Raw genomic sequence first — 18,422 nt, 5'->3', positions numbered from 1 at the left:
AGGTTAACTGTCCTAGCTAGGTGATAGGAGCACAGTGGGAAATGAGACAGACGGGATCCTGGCTCCTCCTGGAGCTTACAGTCCTGCAGGGAGACAGGCATGAACATAGAAACAAAAGCAGAAAATAATGACAAATTGGGTTAAGCGCCATGAAGGAAACAAAGTCAGGGCTGGGGTGCAGGTGACAGGGCAGTGGTGAAGGTGGCTGCTTTAGCTATGAGGGTCAGAGAAGGCCTCTTTGAAGAGCGACTTTTAGGCGGGGATGAGGAGCCAGTTGTGTGGAGGCGGGGAGGAAAGTTCTGGTTGAGGGAACCAGCACATGCAGAGGACCTGAGACAGGAAGGAGCTGGCACGAATGACTGCTGTGTCACAGATGCTTAAACTGTGTCCAGTGGAGGCAGCAGCTGCCACTCACTGTGTCCCCACAGTGCCTGGGACTTTCTGTGAATGGGGAGGTGTTGGAGCCCACGCGCTGGCAGGAGCAGGGAGGGGCTGGGGCCAAGTGTGAGTGTGGGCACAGGACCTCTCTGGGGACTCAGTTCTGCTGCCACCATCCTGATGAGTAGAGAGCTTAGTCTAAGTGGGTCCCAGGGAGGGCCTGGTGGGCTTGATTGGGCTCTGGGGTGAATGATCATGGAGGCATGGGCATTGGGCTAGGCTTGCCTGTGGCCTGACATCTGACTCCTCCCCCAGCGCTGGCAAGACCTCAATGTGATCAACAGCCTGCTCAAGTCCTTCTTCCGAAAGCTGCTCGAGCCTCTTTTCACTGCTGGTGAGTAGGAGGTGGAAGTGGGGGTGGGGAGGGGACACCAGTCTGTGCCGCACCCTGACCACTACTTTTGCATTTGGTTTGTTGGTTTTACTCTTTTATTTATTTATTTTTTTGGAGACAGTCTTGCTCTGTCGCCCAGGCTGGAGTGCAGTGGTGCAATCACAGCTCATTGCAGCCTCAAGCTACTGGGCTCTAGCGATCCTCCCACCTCAGCCTCCTGAGTAGCTGAGACAGCAGGTGAACACCACCACACCCAGCTAATTTAAAAGTTTTTTTCAGAGATGGGGGGAGTTTCTCACTATGTTGCTCAGACTGGTGTTGCACTCTTGGGCTCAAGCAATCCTCCTGCCTGCCCCAGCCCCACAAAATGCTGGGATTACAGGCATGAGCCACCACGCTGGCTTTTTTTTTTTTTTTTAACACAAAATCTTATTAAAAAAAAACATAGATTGTGCAGATGTGAATAAAAACAGCACAGGACCCTGTGAATCTCCTCCTCCCTTTCACGGGAGGTTGTGGCTAACACTTTCTGAGCATTAGTGTGTGCCAAGCACAACTCCCTACAGCAACTCCATGAGGAAGGTGCTATTGTCTTCCCTCTACAGATGAGGAAACCAAGGCTCAGAGAGGTTTAATGCCTTGCCCAAGGTCACACAGGTTGTAAATGGCAGAGCCAGGATTCCACCCCAGGCGTCGGGCTCCGATGGGCTTTGGCTGTTTGCTGAACTGCTTATTCACAATCTGTTGTGTTTCTCTCCTGGCCCTCTTATATGCATGGCAGAGATACACACGTGCCTGCGTGGGGTTTGGAGTTGGGTGGGTTCAGGGGTGTGCTGGCAGATGTTTAACATCTGTTTCTGGGAGAAAAAAGCCCTAATGCCTAGCGTTTTCCAGCTTCCATGGTGTAAATACTCCTACCGTGGTTTATTTCAAGCCACCAACATGATGTCACCAACATGGAATTGGGAAGAGAGGCACACAGTCGCTCTCAGGAGCTGGTGTGAGCGGACTCCAGCACACCGCTGGTTGAGTTGTTTTTAACAAAAGCAGAGTTGTAATTCTGAGATTCATTCGTGTCAGTGCAGAGAGCTCTACCTCATTCTTCTTTTAAATCAACCACATAGAATTTCATGGTTTGAATAGACTATAATTTCTTTAAGTACTCCTCTATTGATGGATATTTAGCTTGTCTTCAAATGTTTGCTATCACACAACCTGTTGCAATGGCTTTCCTTGAATAAGTCCTTGAACGCCTGGATCTGTGCTCTCTAAGGGGATTCTTAGATGTAGAATTGCCGGGTCAAAGTCCTGGTGAACCTTTCTGAGACCAGTGTCAATTGCACTCTGAGAAAGAGGCCCTGATTTAGACTCCCACTAACAATGTAGGAGTCTGTCTCTCCACATCCCCAACAGCATTGGATATTACAACTATTATTGTTATTTGAAGGCCAGGCATGGTGGCTTATGCCTGTGATCCCAGCACTTTGGAAGGCTGAGGCGGGTGGATCACCTGAGGTCAGGAGTTCAAGACCAGCCTGAGTGTGGTGAAACCCCATCTCTACTAAAAATACAAAAAGTAGCTGGGTGTGGTGGCAGGTGCCCGTAGTCCCAGCTGCTAGGGAGGCTGAGACAGGAGAATTGCTTGATCCCAGGAGGCAGAGGTTGCAGTGAGCTGAGATCGCACCACTGCACTTCAGCCTGGGTGACAGAGCAAGACTCCATCTCAAAATAAATAAATAAATAAATAAATAAATAATACAATAAAATAAAAATAAAAATACTATTATTTGACACAGGATCTTGCTCTGTTGCCCAGACTGGAATGCAGTGGTACAATCATGGCTCACTGCAGCCTCAACCTCCTGGGCTCAAGTGATCCTCCCATCTCAGCCTCCTGAGTAGCTGGGACTACAGGTTTGTGCCACTATACCCATCTAATTAAAAAAAATTTTTTTTCTGGTAGAGGCAGGGTCTCACTACGTTGCTCAGGCTGGTCTTCAACTCCTGGTCTAAAGTGATCATCGCTCCTCGGCCTTTCAAAGTGCTGGGATTTTAGGCTTGAGCCACCTCACCCAGACAGCATTAAATATTATTAATATTTTAAACTTTTGCTAATCAGATAAGAGAAATGGTATCTCATTATTGTTTTTATTTTCATTGCCCTCATTACTAGGGAGATTAAATCTTTTTTCATTAGCATACTGGCTGTTTCTATTTTCTCTGTAATTACTTGATCAGACCATGTGCCCATTTTTCTGTTGGGTTGTTTATCTTTTTCTTATGTTGATTTGTGGGAGAAAAGCTCTTTGTGTTTTACACATATTAACCCTTTGTTAGTTTTTGCAAATATTTGCTTTGGCCTGCCATTTGCCTTTTCACTTTGCAGTATAGAAACTGAAAACAAAATTTTTGTTTGTTGTTGTTTTGTTTTGTTTTTTGAGACAGAGTTTCACTCTTGTCGCCCAGGCTGGAGTGCAATGGTGCGATCTCGGCTCACTGCAACTTCTGCCTCCTGGGTTCAAGCGATTCTTCTGCCTCAGTCTCCCGAACAGCTGGGATTACAGGTGCCCACCATCATGCCCAGCTAATTTTTGTATTTTTGGTAGAGACGGGGTTTCACCATGTTGGCCAGGCTGGTCTCAAATTCCTGACCTCAGATGATCCACCCTCCTTGGCCTCCCAAAGTGCTGGGATTACAGGCGTGAGCCACCGCTCCCTGCCTAACAATTTTTAATTTTATTTTTATTAAATTTTATTTATTTTTTTGAGACTGAGTCTCACTCTGTCACCCAAGCTGGAGTGCAGTGGTACGATCTCAGCTCATTGCAACCTCGGCCTCTCGGGTTCAAGCCATTCTCCTGTCTCAGACTCCCAAGTAGCTGGGATTACAGGCACCTGCCACCATGCCCAGTTAATTTTTATATTTTTAGTAAAGATGAGGTTTTGCCACATTGGCCAGGCTGGTCTTGAACTCCTGACCTCAATTGATCAGCTGATGCACCTCAGCCTTCCAACGTGCTGGGATGACAGACGTGAGCCACCGTGCCTGGCCGAAAACAATTGTTTAAAATGTGACCAAAGCTGTTCATCTTTTCTTCATGGATTCTGCATCTCATGTTTAGGATGGCCTTAGGATTATAAAAATATTTTCTTATTTTTTCCCCAGTGCTTTTATAATTTTCACAATTGGCTCTGCCGTGTGATTGCATTTGTGTATTGTGAGCTAGAAATGATCCCCCCCGCCCCCGATGGTAGCCATTTGTCCCGGGGACATCTGTTGAGGCCCCCATCCCTCCCCCCGATTGGAAGTGCTGCCTTTATCATATAATAAATATCCACATGGCCCACTTCCCCCCTTTCTAGCCTTAACATTGCTCTGCCTTTTCTGCCGTGCCAGCCGGCTTCAGCTGTGCCATCCATTCAGGATGTTTCAGTCCCTGGTAGGGCAGATCCTCCCGCGTTACTCTTTTTTTAAAAACTATTCCTGGCTGTCTTTGTGCATTAGCTCATCCAGATGAATTTCAGAATAGGCTTATCATGTTCCATTCTTTAAAGGTCCCCATGGAATTGTTCTGAAGGGAGTTGGGGGAATCCTTGGTCGAGGGTGTCTGAAGCCCCTCCTCCTCTCCAGGTGCCCTTCTCTTCTGACCTGCTGAACCTTGGTGTCCATGTCCTGGAGACGGGGGCATGGACCCCTTTCCTGCGATCAGCATGCACCTCAGGTCGTATTGCCTCCCAAATGAACACAGCTGGGCTACCCCAGGTCAGGTGCACACCCGAGTGTAGCTGTGGTGAGTGCAGCTGTGGTGAGTGCAGCTGTGGTAAGTGCAGCTGTGGTGGGTGTGTTCACATACACAAGAGGCTGTCGCCCATGCTGGAGCCCCCGAACTGGAGGAGTTCAAAACACAGCCCTCCCAGCAGGGCCCTCGGCCTGGAGAACAGGGTAAGGTGCTGCCCCTACCTCTCTAAAGAGTCTCTGCTGTGTTTTAGACAAATACAACGACTTCATCGAGGCCAACTGCATTGAGGACGCGCGGGAGCGGATGAGGACGCTGCGGAAGCTGGTAAGGAGAGAGAGGTGCTGCCAGGCACGAGGTGGGGCAGCTGCCTGAGCACCTCTGTCCCAGGAGGCAGGGAGTCCGGTGTTACCCACGACCCCTGTGGCCTTGCCCTGCTCCACTCAGGGCATCAGTTTCCCCATCCACACAAGAGAACGGGGGGTTAGAGGATAGGTTCCAGACTCCCTGAGGCATGGTAGTGGGAGATCTTTGGGGCATGGTGGTGACGGGGGACAGGGGCAGGCCCTTACAGCCTGTCCCCATGCCCCTCCTCTCTCCTGCTCAGATCCGGGATCTCCCAGGACACTACTATGAAACACTCAAATTCCTTGTGGGCCATCTCAAGACCATCGCTGACCACTCTGAGAAAAACAAGGTGGGTAGGAGTCCCGCATGGAGTCTGGGGGAGGCAAGCACGGACTTACTGTGTGGGGGCCCTCAGCACGCACTGAGCTCCTGCAGGTCCAATAACTCAGGCCCCTCTAGGCACGCCCTCCTCCTATGACTGCTCCGTCCCCATCCCGCTCCTACATGCTGGTCAGTGCTTTCCCCCAGAGAGCCATCTCCTGAGTTTCTGAGGGCTTTCCAGAGGCAGGGAACCCCGGCTCCCCGTATCTGATGCATTGCCATCCTCCGAGTTAGCTCAAGTCCCTCGCATTGCATTTTCCTCATCAAACCCCTTATGCCTTCTGGTTCTGCAGTGGAGAAAATGAGGGGAGTGATAGGATTTTTTGTGTTTTTTGTTTGTTTGTTTTTTTGAGACGAAGTCTCACTCTGCCACTCAGTCTGCAGTGCCTTGGCACGATCTCAGCTCACTGCAACCTTCACCTCCCGGGTTCAAGCAATTCTCCTGCCTCAGCCTCCGGAGTAGCTGGGATTACAGGCACCTGGAAGTGATTGGATTTTTTCCCAGGCCTAAAATAACCCCTGGGACCTCCAACATGTTTCCTACTGCAGGGTCTCCCACTGCTGGCACTGACCACTCAGGGCTGCCCTGTATAGGTGTGCAGGTTGGGCACTGCTCATGGCTGCTGGGCCTGGGGATGAAAGGGGCTGAAATCTGGCCTGTGCTCTACTCATCAAGCATCTCCATGCCCATACAAGGGGGTGTCCACCCTCTAAGCTGGGGACTGGTGAGGATGTAGTTGGGGACAGAGGCCTTAGGGGCCAGAGTGAGGGAGGACTGAGTTCAGGATGTTGACAGTGACCTGCTTTCCCTGCTGCCCAGATGGAACTCTGGAACCTGGCCCTGGTCTTTGGGCGGACACTGGTGAGGACGTCTGAGGGCAACATGACAGACATGGTGACCCACATGCCTGACCGCTACAAGATCGTGGAGACACTGATCCAGCACGTAAGCCCCTGTTCCGGGGGTCACCCGGCAGCCCCTGGGGCCCAGGCCATGTTCCTCTGAGCCCCTCACTCTTGCTCAGCCTGGCGGGGTGTGCCCCAGGAAGGGCTCGGCAGCTTTAGAGCATGCTGCTAGGGTGGTATATACTCCTCCAAAGCCATGGGCTGCATTTCAAGGCAAGGCAGGAATGGATCCTGGAATCCTTGCTGCCCTGGGATGTTGTGTCCCCAGCAGGAGAGTCAAGAGGCCCCCGAGCGTCCAAGATGCCTGGGAAAGGCAGAAGAGGAGGAAGGGCAGGGAAGGTGCTACAGGTGGAGGGCAGAAGGGGCAGCTTCAGAAGGTGGCCCCTGGAGAGGTGTCCTGGCAGACACGAGCAGACGGGGGCCAAGGTCTGGCCTGACATCAGGAGGCCCCGGCTCTAGTGACTTTCCCTGCTGGCCCCACTGAGGTTTTGGGGAGGTAGTGGTGATGTCCATGGTAACAAGGGGTGGATGGGGCAAGGCACAGGGCCTTGGCCTGAGGCAGGATCCTGCACCAGTGCTTGGCATGTACTGGGCTGGCCACCTCCCTTCTCATGGCTTCCTGGATGCCAACAGCCCGTGGTCCTGTAGGTTCTTGTTACCGTGCATGGGCGGAGGAGAACCCAGAGTGGCCAGCAGAGGGCTCAGGAGGCCTTGGTCTTCCAGAGCCCAACCCTAAGGCAGCACTGCCGCCTTCTGGGGCACACACAGATGTCATTATGAATCATAGATTTTCCATTTCCAATTCTTGTTACAGCCCACAGAGGATGAGAACAGAGCCCCTCCTGCCAGGGGAAATAAGACTGGCAGCTGGTCAGAGGAAGGGAAGCCTCAGTCCCAAGCACCCTAGACACTTTAGGGAAGGAAAGCTGGGCCCTATCACCCCCATTTTACAGAGGAGGAAACAGGCTCAGAGAGGCAAAGCAACTTGCTCATGGTCACACAGCTAATAAGTGGCAGCCCAAGATTTCAAGCCAGATCTGACTGACCAAAGCCTGTGTTTTCCTCCTGCTATCAACCCAAAGGCCAGACTCCTAGGTCCCTCCTTGAGCTGGCTTGGGACGGAGGGAGGGGGCCAGGGTAAGGATGCGAGGTGGTGGGCAGCTGAGCCATGTTAACAGCCTTGCTTGCCCATCTCCTCCTTCACTGCATGCTCAGGGCTCCGAGCCACAGGAGGGAGCATCACAGCCTGCTGCATCCGGACACTGGGAACACCACTCCAGAACTGTCTGGGAGGCCAGAGCTGCCCTGCAGCGTCCGGGATCCTGGTGAGGCCTTGGGAAAGCTTAGCTCTCCAGGGCACCAGGGAGCCCCGGAACCTCCCAGGAGGGTGTGTTTTGGGGGCAGCAGCAGGGAAGAGTGGGTGTCTGGCCCTGTGCTCCTGGAGCAGCCCCTGGAAGCCCAAGGTCTGAAGTCAGCTGAGGTGTCAGGAACTGCAGTCTTCAGGGAGGAAGGAGGCCAAAGCCCCAAGGGGGAGTCCCTGCTCTGGGCAGGGTGGAGAAGGTGGAGTTTGTCTCATTTAGCACTGACACTAGCGCCTGGCACACAGTGGATACTCTGGATACTCAGTGTTTGTGGAGTATAAATGAATGAGTAAATTGCTAATTGAGGTTATATCAGGCTGGGCTTTTCTTTCTCTTTCTTTCTCTCTCTTTCTTTTCGCTTTCTGTTTTTTTTTTTTTTTTTTTTTTTTTTTTTTTTTTGATAGAGTCAGTCTGTCGCCCACACTGGAGTGCAGTGGGCAAATATGGCCCACTTCCAGGCTCAGGCGATCCTGCCATCTCAGCCTCCTGAGTAGCTGGGACTAGAGATGCCACCACCACACCAACTGGCTAATTTTTGTATTCTTTTGTAGAGATGAGGTCTTACTATGTTGCCAGGGCTAGTCTTGAACTCCTGGACTCAAGCAATCCTCCCATCTCGGCCTTCCAAAGTGCTGGGATTACAGGTTTGAGCCATCACGCCCGGCCAGGCTGGGCTTTTCTACTCAGAGATTCATTCCCGAGAGCTAACTGAGCTAGTGTCCTTCCCTTCTCTGCCTCCTTGGCATTTGAACGTAACCAGCCCTGGATGATTGTCAAGGGAATGAGCCACCCACTCTGCAAGCCCTGAAAGCCTGCCCACCCAAGCGTGCCAGCTCTGTCTAGCCCAGAGGCTCCATAGCCAGGGCAGTGCTGCTGTCACTTGGGGCACCCAGACCAGTCTTCAGGTCGGAAAGAGGGTGGCAACTGAGGGGTAAAGAGGAACAGCGACTTGCCCAGGGCCACGCAGCAAGATAATGGCAGAGCAGAGAGGAGAGCAAACCTGGATGTCTGATCTTGCAGCGGGCAAGTTGCCAGGAGCCTCTACCTATGTTTACAAAGTCAAGTGGAACCCAAACAAAGATCACCCAGGGCATTTGCTCAGGGACTCACTCAGCAAAGGCAGTGACACCTAATGTTTCTCAGCTTCAGCACTAGTGACCACTGAGGTCCAGATAAGTCTTTATTGTGGGAGGCTGTTCTGTGTGTTATAGGACATTTAGCAGAATCGCTGGCTTCTACCTGCTGGATGCTGGGAATATCACTCTAGTTGTCACAATAAAAAATGTCTCCAGACATTGCCAAGTGCCCCCTGGGGTGGGAGATTGACGGCAGTGGCTCTAGGGCCAGCCTGCTCCTATGTGCTGTGTGGCCTTGGACAAGTTCCTTACCTGCTGTGCCTCAGTCTCCACACCTGTAAAGTAGAGATGACAATACTGTTTACCTCACATTGTTGTGAATGTCTGCTAAAGCACTCACGGTGGTGCCTGGCAGGTCCTAAGTGTTGTGTGAGAACTGAATGTCATCCTCTTCCTCGTGGTCATTATTCCACGCCAGAGACAGATCCCCATGCTGGAAACACGGAGGTGAATGGGAACCTGCTCAGAAGGAATATTGCCAGCGGGTGTGGTGGTGCGTGTCTGTGGTCTCAACTACTTGGGGGGCTGAGGTGGGAGGCTGCAGTGAGCCGAGATTGCGACACTGCACTCCAGCCTGGGTGACAGAGTGAGACCCTGCCACACACACACAAAAAAAAATCCATAAAATGATGTTTCTCATTCATTTATTCATTTAATAATGTTTATCAGAGTAAGAGCTGCATCTCTTTTTGCTCTGGGCTATGTCCAAGGAAGCCCCACAAAAGGACCCACCCTGGCCCTGGGTGCAGGGCTGGGGTCGTAGTCATGGAGTTCTTGAACTGCCTTAGAGGACCATGATGAGAACTTAGCCAGGCAGAGCAGGGAGAAAGGGCATCCCAGGCGGAAAGAACAGCATGTGCAGAAACAGGGTGGCAGGAACTAGTGTGGATTCCTCTTGAGAGCCGTGGCCACCCGGGCACTTCCTGTAGATGCTGTGGCTTGCAGAGTACTTCTGGGCACCTTCCAACCCGAGTTAACAGCTGGCTTCTTTGGGCCAATCCTCAGGCTCCCCCTGGTCAGCCTGTCTCTGGAAGCCGCACTTTTGAATAACGGTAGCTGACATCTATTATACATTAACAACGTGCTGCACTCAACATTTTCCATACAGTATTTCATCTCAATCCTCCTCAGGCCTAGAAGGAGGTACTCACATCATGCCCATTTTAGAGATAAGTAAATAGACTTACAGAGGGAAAGTAACTTGGCTAAGGTGAACTCGAACCAAGATAACTGACTCCAGAGCTTCCATTTTTCTTTTTCTTTTCTTTTTTTTTTTTTTTGAGACAGAGTCTCACTCTGTCGCCCAGGCTGGAGTGCAACGGCGCAGTCTCCACTCACTGCAGCCTCCAGCTCCTGGGTTCAAGTGATCCACCTCAGCACCCCCAAGTAGCTGGGATTATGGGCGCACGCCACCATGCCAGGCTAATTTTTGTATTTTTAGTAGAGCTGGGGTTTCACCCTGTTGGCCAGGCTGGTATTGAACTCCTGACCTCAGCTGATGCACCTGCCTCAGCCTCCCAAAGTGCTGGGACTACAGGTGTGAGCCACTGTGCCCAGTCAGAGCTTGCATTTTTCTTATCTTCCTTCGCTCTCTTCTCTTCTATCTCTTTCTTGTTTCCCTTCTGGCCTTCCTGTGCTGTTTGATTTAATCACATGTCAGATCATGAGCAATAATAACTGAGGCTCATGGCGCATGCTCAGGCAAGTCCCCTTGTTTCCCCTCTTCATTCCCCTAGGTGCCCACTCTTAATAGGCTAATATGTGTCCTTCCAGGACACCTTCCACTTATTGTAAATGCATGGCTATCCTTAAATATATATAATATTCTTTGTGTGTTTTAAGTCTACATAATGAGATTATAAATTGCCTGTTCCTGTTCTTTCATAGGTGTTGAGGGGGGTAAAGGGTAATTGACTTAATTTTTATTCATTTATTTTTTTTGAAATGGAGTTTCACTCTTGTTGTCCAGGCTGGAGTACAGTGGTGCGACCTCAGCTCACTGCAACCTCTGCCTCCCGGGTTCAAGTGATTCCCCCACCTCACCCTCCCGAGTAGCTGGGATTACAGGTGTGCACAACCATGCCCAGCTAATTTTTATATTTTTAGTAGAGATGGGGTTTCACCATGTTGGCCAGGTTGGTCTCAAACTCCTGACCTCAGGTGATCCACCCACCTCAGCCTCCCAAAGTGCTGGGATTACAGGTGTGAGTCACTGCACCCAGCCTGTCACTGTCAATTTCTAATGCTTATCAGTTTCTGTGTCTTCCTTCCACCACATCTAAAAGCCAAAAGTGGTGGGTGCAGTGGCTCATGCTTGTAATCCCAAAATCTACAATTTTTTTTTAATTAGCTGTGCAAGGTGGCACATGCCTGTAGTCCCAGCTATTCAGGAGGCTGAGGTGGGAGAATCTCTTGAGCCCAGGTGTTCAAGGGTACAGTGAGCTAGGATCATGCCACAGCATTCCAACCTGGATAACAGCGAGAGACCCTATCTCAAAAATAAATTAATAAATACAATAAAAGCCAAAAGTGCCTTAGTTATTTCTTGGAGCTTGCCGAAGTCCATCTCTTTACTTGCTCAAGTATTCAATTAAGAGAGTCTTTGTGTAAAAAATTTTCTGCTGTCTCAGGATAGCTTTATTTCAAGGCCAGGTGTGGTGGCTCCAGAGAGCAGGAGGTTCACTTAAGGGGTGATTAAAACAATCTGTGGTATGCCTGTAATCCCAGCACTTTGGGAGGTGGAGGTAGGTGGATCACTTGAGGTCAGGAGTTGAGACCAGTCTGGCCAACATGACGAAACCCCATCTCTACTAAAAATACAAAAATTATCCAGGCGTGATGGCATGCACCTGTAATCCCAGCTACTTGGGAGGCTGAAGCCAGAGAATCACTTGAACACAGGAGGCAGAGGTTGCAGAGAGCCAAGATTGCACCACTGCACTCCAGCCTGGGTGACAGAGTGAGATTCTGTTGGAAAAAAAAAAAAAAGAATAGCTTTATTTTACATTCTCATTTTTTTAAATGAGAGTTTAGCAGGGTATAAAATTCTAGGTTCCTTCCACACATCAAAACTTACTTTCTTGTCTTGTCTTCTTGTGTCTTGCTGCTGAAAGTTCCAAGTACCTGTGATACGTGTTCATTTATAAGCAATCTGGATTTTTTTTTCAGAAAACTTAGAATTTTATCTTCAAGATTCTCAAATTTTACAAAATATATTAAACTGTGGGGGTCTTTATTTTGTCTCTTGTTTGGCCTTTATGAGAAAGCTCTCGCCTCCTGCCCGTCAGGAAACCTCCAACACCTTTCTCCTGTCATTTTCCTTTTCTGGGCTGAGTATGTGACACCCCTGTTGTCAGTGTGGCACCCATGGGTGGCAGGTGGCCTGGGGCATGCTCGGCTGTCACAGCCATGGACCTGGCCAACACTAACGGCACTGGTGCCTCCCTGCCCCCCGGCTCGCTGTGGGGAGTATACCATAGGGGTGTGCCCAGGACAGTGTTTAGAGAAAAGCAAGTAAAAGCGAAGCTCTCCCTAAGCCTATCTCCCGTCTGACGTGGCCGCTCCCACTCACTGCCGTGTCTCCTCCCACACTGGGGTCCCACCTTTTCTCTCCCCAAGGGTTTTTCATAGTCTGTGGAGTCAGGTTTTAGCATCCATCAAGCTCCCTCTGAGCCCTCTTTTGCAGCCCCACCAGCCTGGGGTTTGTTGAGAGAGAGGCGCCCCTTGCCGCCTGAGTGGGTCCTCTGGAATGAGCAGGTGGAAGAGACTCTTCTTTCCCATGCTGATTTCATCCCTTCCTTTTGTCTTCTCTGCAGTCAGACTGGTTCTTCAGTGACAAAGAGGACAAGGGAGAGAGAGAGTAAGTGATGCCGTGGGCTGGGCTGGCATGGGGGCTGGTCTGGGGTGAGCCCCAGTCCTTGGGGGTGGGGCAGGCAGCGAGACTTAAGCTGGGGAAGGTGTCTGTCCTTGAGGCTTCCCTCAAGTCTGATGGAGGAAACACAGACCCTCTCCTCAGGAGCCCCTAGTCTGATAGATAAGCACAAAGCTTGCCTTCAGGAATCTCCAGTCTAAATGGGGGAGATACAGGCCTTGCTCAGAGGTAACCCAATTCAGGAGTAAAGGCAGCTCCTGCCCTCCAGGCTACTGAGAAGGACTTAGGTTGGAGGAGTTCCAGTCTAGTGCGGGAGACACAGCTCCTGCCCCTAGCTGAAGGGGCCGCTCTGGCCTTCGTGGTTCTGAGATGTTGAGGAAGGCACAAAGCTGTCTAACAGGGGACATGTAGGAATCATCCTTAAGAGCACCCGGCTGATGAGGGAGACGGTCCCTGCCCCAGTGAGCCCAGTCTGATGGAGGAGACACGGGCTCTGTCATCAGGGCACCCCCCTCTGGGGGGTCGGCAGCCCAGCATCCGAGGGCATGCCAGTTGACCCCTCCTCCTGTTCGCAGACCCCTGTGGGCAGCAAGGAGCCTCAGGCAGTGCCCAACATTGAGTACCTCCTGCCCAACATTGGCAGGACAGTGCCCCCTGGTGACCCGGGGTCAGGTGAGCACAGGGGCCTGGGAGTGGGGAGGCAGGAGGGTGGACACTGCATTCCTGAGGGTCCCAGATACCTGGCCAGATGCCCAGCTTCCCTGTGCCACCCCAGCGGGGCCCTCCCCTGCCAGCCACCATGGAGATGGGGCTGTTGGGGGCCTTCTACCTCCCTGGGGAAGTCCAGCTTGCCCCGTGCCCACCTCCTGTCTGTGCAGCTGCCCCGCCCCAGGCAGGGTTGGAGCTTTGTTCCCCCTCTCTCACTGGTTTCTTTCCTCAGCCTTTAATTTCTCATGGGCTGGCTGTGTCCCTCTGGGCATGTTCCTCTTTTTAATTTTTCTTCCTTTTTTCCTTGCACCCCCACCTCTCCCTCCTCCTCTCCCCGTGCTCTCCTCCCACCCCTTTCTCTTCTCCTCCCCCTCCCCTCCTCCAGCAGACCTGTTGGAGATTTAAAGAGTACAGTGCAGTGTCGCGGCCTCGGTCACTAACAGTGGCGGGTGATTATAAGAAGGCTGGGTGGGCACAGAGGCAGGCAGAATGTCCCGGACTGTGAGGACCCCACACTGACATGCCAGTTACCCCTGCTTTTTATCCACTTACCCCAGCAGTCCATGCCCCTCCCATCCTAGAGCCCCTTCTCAGGAGGAAGGAGGCACTCACTGGGCCCAGGGCCCTCCCCGTTGCCTGGACACCGGGGCATCGAATTGCTGCCCTTCTGCAGTGCCACAGACCTTGTGGCCTCTCTTTGCCGAGTCTCACCACTGCTAGTCATCCGGGCTGGGGACCGACACTCTCTGGAGACCAGCGATGCCACGCCCAGAAGCTTCTCTTTATCTCTAACTCCTGCCTCAGTCACCCCAATGGGCCGCCTCCTCCTGCTTAAGAAACCGGGGCCCTAAGTCCTGTTTGCAGGGCCTGTGGCCCTCTCATGGCAGAGGACAGATGATTTACATGCTCAGAGACAGATGAGGGCCACTCCCTTTGTGGCTGCAGCCACTGACTCCTCCCCCCGCCATTGTTGTCCCTCTCTTTAGTTTTAGCATTTCTGTTTGTCTCTGACAGAGGCACACAGGAGCTCCCTAGTCACCAGAGGCAGGCTCAGGAGGGGCCAGAAGACATGGGGGTGGGACGGCAGAGAGGGACCCCATGTCTCTTCTAATCACTCACCGCCCCCCGCGCCCCGTGTGTCATGTGTGATCGCCCATCTTGCTTTTCTCACCTTGTGCAGGGGGAGGGGTCCGGAGAGGGGGGCATCTAACTTGCCTGCCAGAGAGTGTGGATTAACCACACCTGCCCACTACCCTGTGGGACCCCAGGAGGCCCTTGGACCAACCTGCTCCCTCTCTAGCCTTGGAGAGGACCCACAAGGATGTGTCTCTGGTTCCTTCTCCACCCCAGTGATATTAAGGGAGTGGGACCCAAGTCCCATAGAAATCATGCTTTTAGTCTCCTTCATAACTGGGTGATAACTGGGGACCCTGCCCATGAGGCAGGGTGACCCCAGGTCTGGAGGTGCACTGTGTGGTCTCCATTTCTCCAGAGCATCTGTGATTTGCTGTGTTTCACTGTGGTGGTTTCCATGGACTGCACCTGATATTTAGCATTTTCTCTCCAGTGCTTCAGAGTAAAAGGGACAGGCGGGGAAGGAGAGAGGAACTAGGCTCAAAGACAATGCCCCCTTGCCCTTAGCCTTCGGTAAATGAGGGGCCAGTGGCTGGCAGCCTGATGTCACTTCCTGCCTCTAGAGGAAGTGGCAATTAACATCATTTTCTGCTCCATCCCTTTCCCATAGATGGACATCAGAAGTCCGTCATACTCCTAGGGCCTGGGGAGATCTCATGTTTCAGAATTCCCTGGTTTCTGAAGCCTTTGAGGAGAGGAATTGTGTGCATAAGACTCAACTTTCTTTTTCCCTGATGCAACTTTCATTTTTTTTTCTGTCTTTCACCAACAGATTCTACCACCTATAGTTCAGTCAAGTCCAAGGTACGTACGAAGGCAATTCTGAAGGCTTGATCCCTGTACAAGCCAGCCCACTTTGGTTTTTGTTCAAGAGAATTGAGGGAATGGCAATTGGACCGTGGGGAAAGTTGATGGTCCCTGGGAGGGAAGGCAGGAGGTACCGAGTGCCCAAGGTAAGCTGAGAAGTTGCTTACCTTGGCAGTGTTTGGTGAGGCATCTGCTGTAGTAGAAGGACTTGGCCTGGGAGTTATGTGGCTAGGAGGCAATGTCACTCAGTAGTTAGAAGCACAGACTCTGGAGTCAGACAGTCCTGGGTTTGAGTTCTGGCTCCACCATTTAGTAGTTTGGGACATTGGGCAAATTACTTAACCACTTTCTGATCCTTAGCTTCCTCATCTATAAAATGGGAATATCAGTAAATCTGTGGGGTGCTATAATAAATAAAACAGATATCCTTTAAGGTCTTTGGAGAGCCTAAAGCAAGCAGAAGGAAATAAAGAGAGGAGCAGAAATCCATGAAATTGAAAACAGTTGAAGAAAAGCAATGAAACCAAAAGCTGGTTCTTTGAAAAAAAATCAATGAAATTGATAAACCTCTAGCCAGACTAACAGAATAAAAAGAAAGATGGCACAGATTATCAGTATCAGGGATGAAAGAGGGACATCACTACAGACCCCTAAGTTATTTTTTATTTTTTATTTATTTATTTTTTTGAGATGGAGTCTTGCTGTGTCACCCAGGCTGGAGTGCAGTGGCACCATCTCGGCTCACTGCAAGCTCCGCCTCCTGGGTTCACACCATTCTCCTGCCTCAGCCTCCCGAGTAGCTGGGACTACAGGTGCCCACCATCATGTCCAGCTAATTTTTTGTATTTTTAGTGGAGATGGGGTTTCACCAGGTTAGCCAGGATGGTCTTGATCTCCTGACATTGTGATCCGCCCCCCTTGGCCTCCCAAAGTGCTGGGATTACAGGCGTGAGTCACCACGCCTGGCTATAGACCCCTAAGTTATTGAATTTATGGGCATAAAGTTGCCCATAAATTCAATAACTTAGATGAAATAGACCAATTCTTTGAAAGATTCAGACTGCCAAAACTCACTTAAGAAAAAATAGATAACCTGAATAGTCCTATACCTCCTAAAGAAATTGAATATGTAATTTAAAACCCCCCAACAATGAAAACTTCAGGACCAGATGGTTTCACTGTTAAATTCTACCAAATATTTAAGGAATTTTTTAAATGTTTAAACAATTTACTTTAATAATTTTAAAATATTCTAAATAGAAAATAGTATAATTTTAAATATTGATATATTTAAATAGTTATTTAAATATTTGAATTATTTAAATATTTAAATAGTTATTTAAGAAATAATACCAATTCTCCACTCTCTCTTTTGGAAGATAAAAGAGGATGGCTGGGCACCATGGCTCACACCTGTAATCCTAGCACTTTGGGAGGCTGAGGTCGGATCTTGAGATCAAGAGTTAAAGACCAGCCTGGCCAACGTGGTGAAACCCCATCTCTACTAAAAATACAAAAAAATTAGCTGGGTGTGGTGGCATGAACCTGTAATCCCAGCTACTCAGGAGGCTGAGGCAGGATAATTGCTTGAGCCTGGGAAGAGGAGGTTGCAGTGAGCTGAGGTCGTGCCACTACACTCCAGCCTGGGCAACAGAGCGAGACTCCGTCTCAAAAAAAAGGAAGGAAAATAGAAGAGGAAGAAACACTTTCCAACTCATTTATGAGGCCAGCATTACCCTGATACCAAAACCTAACAATGCTTTTGAAAAAGATAGGGCTAATTCATATGATAATACCACAAATATTTGTTGAATGTCTACTTTATATCAGTACTGTGCTGGGTACTGAAAATATAAATAATGAGCCAAACAGATAGGTTCCTGCCCTCACAAAGCTTATCTTCTACTGAGAGACAGACACTAAGCTAATGAAGAAATAGACTATCTGTCTGGCAGGTTTGGAGGCACAGTGGAGGCAGAAACCAGATGGAATGAGCTAATAAAGTGAGGGAGGGAAGAGCGCATACATAGACCACTCTTGTGAGAAGTCCGATTGTGAAGAGATATTTACAGAACAAAAATGGGAAAATATGTGGCTTGAGGGAAACTTTCATTAAAAGATGAAAGCAGCCAGGCATGGTGGCTCATGCCTGTAATCCCAACACATTTGGAGGCCGAGGCAGGAGGATCCCTTGAGCCCAGGAGTCCGAGACCAGCCTGGACAACATAGTGAGACCTCGACTCTACAAAAAATGCAAAAATAACCAGGCATGGTGGGGCATGCCTGTAGTCCCAGCTACTTGGGAGGCTGAGGCAGGAAGATCATTTGAGCCTGGGAGGTTGAGGCTGCAGTGATGAGCCATGATCATGCCACTGCAGTCCAGCCTGGGCAACAGAGCAAGACCCTGTCTCAAAAACAAACAAACAAACAAAAAAAGATGAAAGCACATATTTACTTGCCAATGGGAATGATCCAGGTGAGAGACAGAGAGAGAGGAAGAGCTGGGCCCAGAGCCCATGAAGCAGCAGTAGCCTGTGCTCCTAGCAGATGCATCCCCAGGTGTAGTAGGAAGAGAGGGAGGTGGCAGGGGCACACTAGCAGGCAGTGTTGGCAGCAGGTCATTGGGGTTGTTCCCAGCTGATGGCTCTTTCCTCAGCGAAGTGGAAGGTGAGGACCTCTGCTGGGCATGAAGGTGGCAGGGAACGTCTGAGCAGAGTGAAGGAAGTCTGAAATAGGTCCCATAAAGCAAGGCAGATTTCCTGAAGGGGCCGAGGAGCATCATGGGCAGGCTGAGGCCTCTGAAGGCTGCGGCCCCTTCTCGAGAGCCAGCACTTTGCCCAGCAGCCGTGCCCTGCCCCTTTGGGCCTGGCTTCTCCACACTCCCCGGAGAGCCCCTTCTGAGTCCCTTCTGGCCAGAAGATGTCCTCATTTGCTTCCTGTGACCCCACCGTGTCTCCAGTGGACTCAAAACTGACCTCCCCAGAGCTCACAGGCCACTGCCTCCCTGAAGCCTCCTGGCTTGAAATTCCTTCCTCCTGAGACCCTAGCAGTTACTGCTTCCCAGTCTGGGCCTGCCTGACTCCTGCAGGAGGCCTTCTCAATTATAGGGGCTTGAACAATAGAACGTGCTTTTCAGAGAGTACGTCTTTACTGTAAACTGACTCAGAGACCTCACTGTGACCCAGTGAGTTCATCACAATCACTAGCATGAGATGAAAGAGGAGGGAATGCACATTTACTGAGCACCTACTAGGTGCCAGC

The 18,422-nt window shown here is 50.6% G+C and overlaps 1 pseudogene; it reads left to right on the top strand.

The window, feature by feature from the left end:
- ARHGAP23P1 (Rho GTPase activating protein 23 pseudogene 1) overlaps positions 1–15,172 on the top strand; it is a 31,487-nt pseudogene extending 16,315 nt beyond the window's left edge.

This window comes from Homo sapiens, chromosome 16, assembly GCF_000001405.40.
Source record: "Homo sapiens chromosome 16, GRCh38.p14 Primary Assembly".
Taxonomy (NCBI): domain Eukaryota; kingdom Metazoa; phylum Chordata; class Mammalia; order Primates; family Hominidae; genus Homo; species Homo sapiens.
This window is presented reverse-complemented; position numbering and strand designations above follow the sequence as displayed.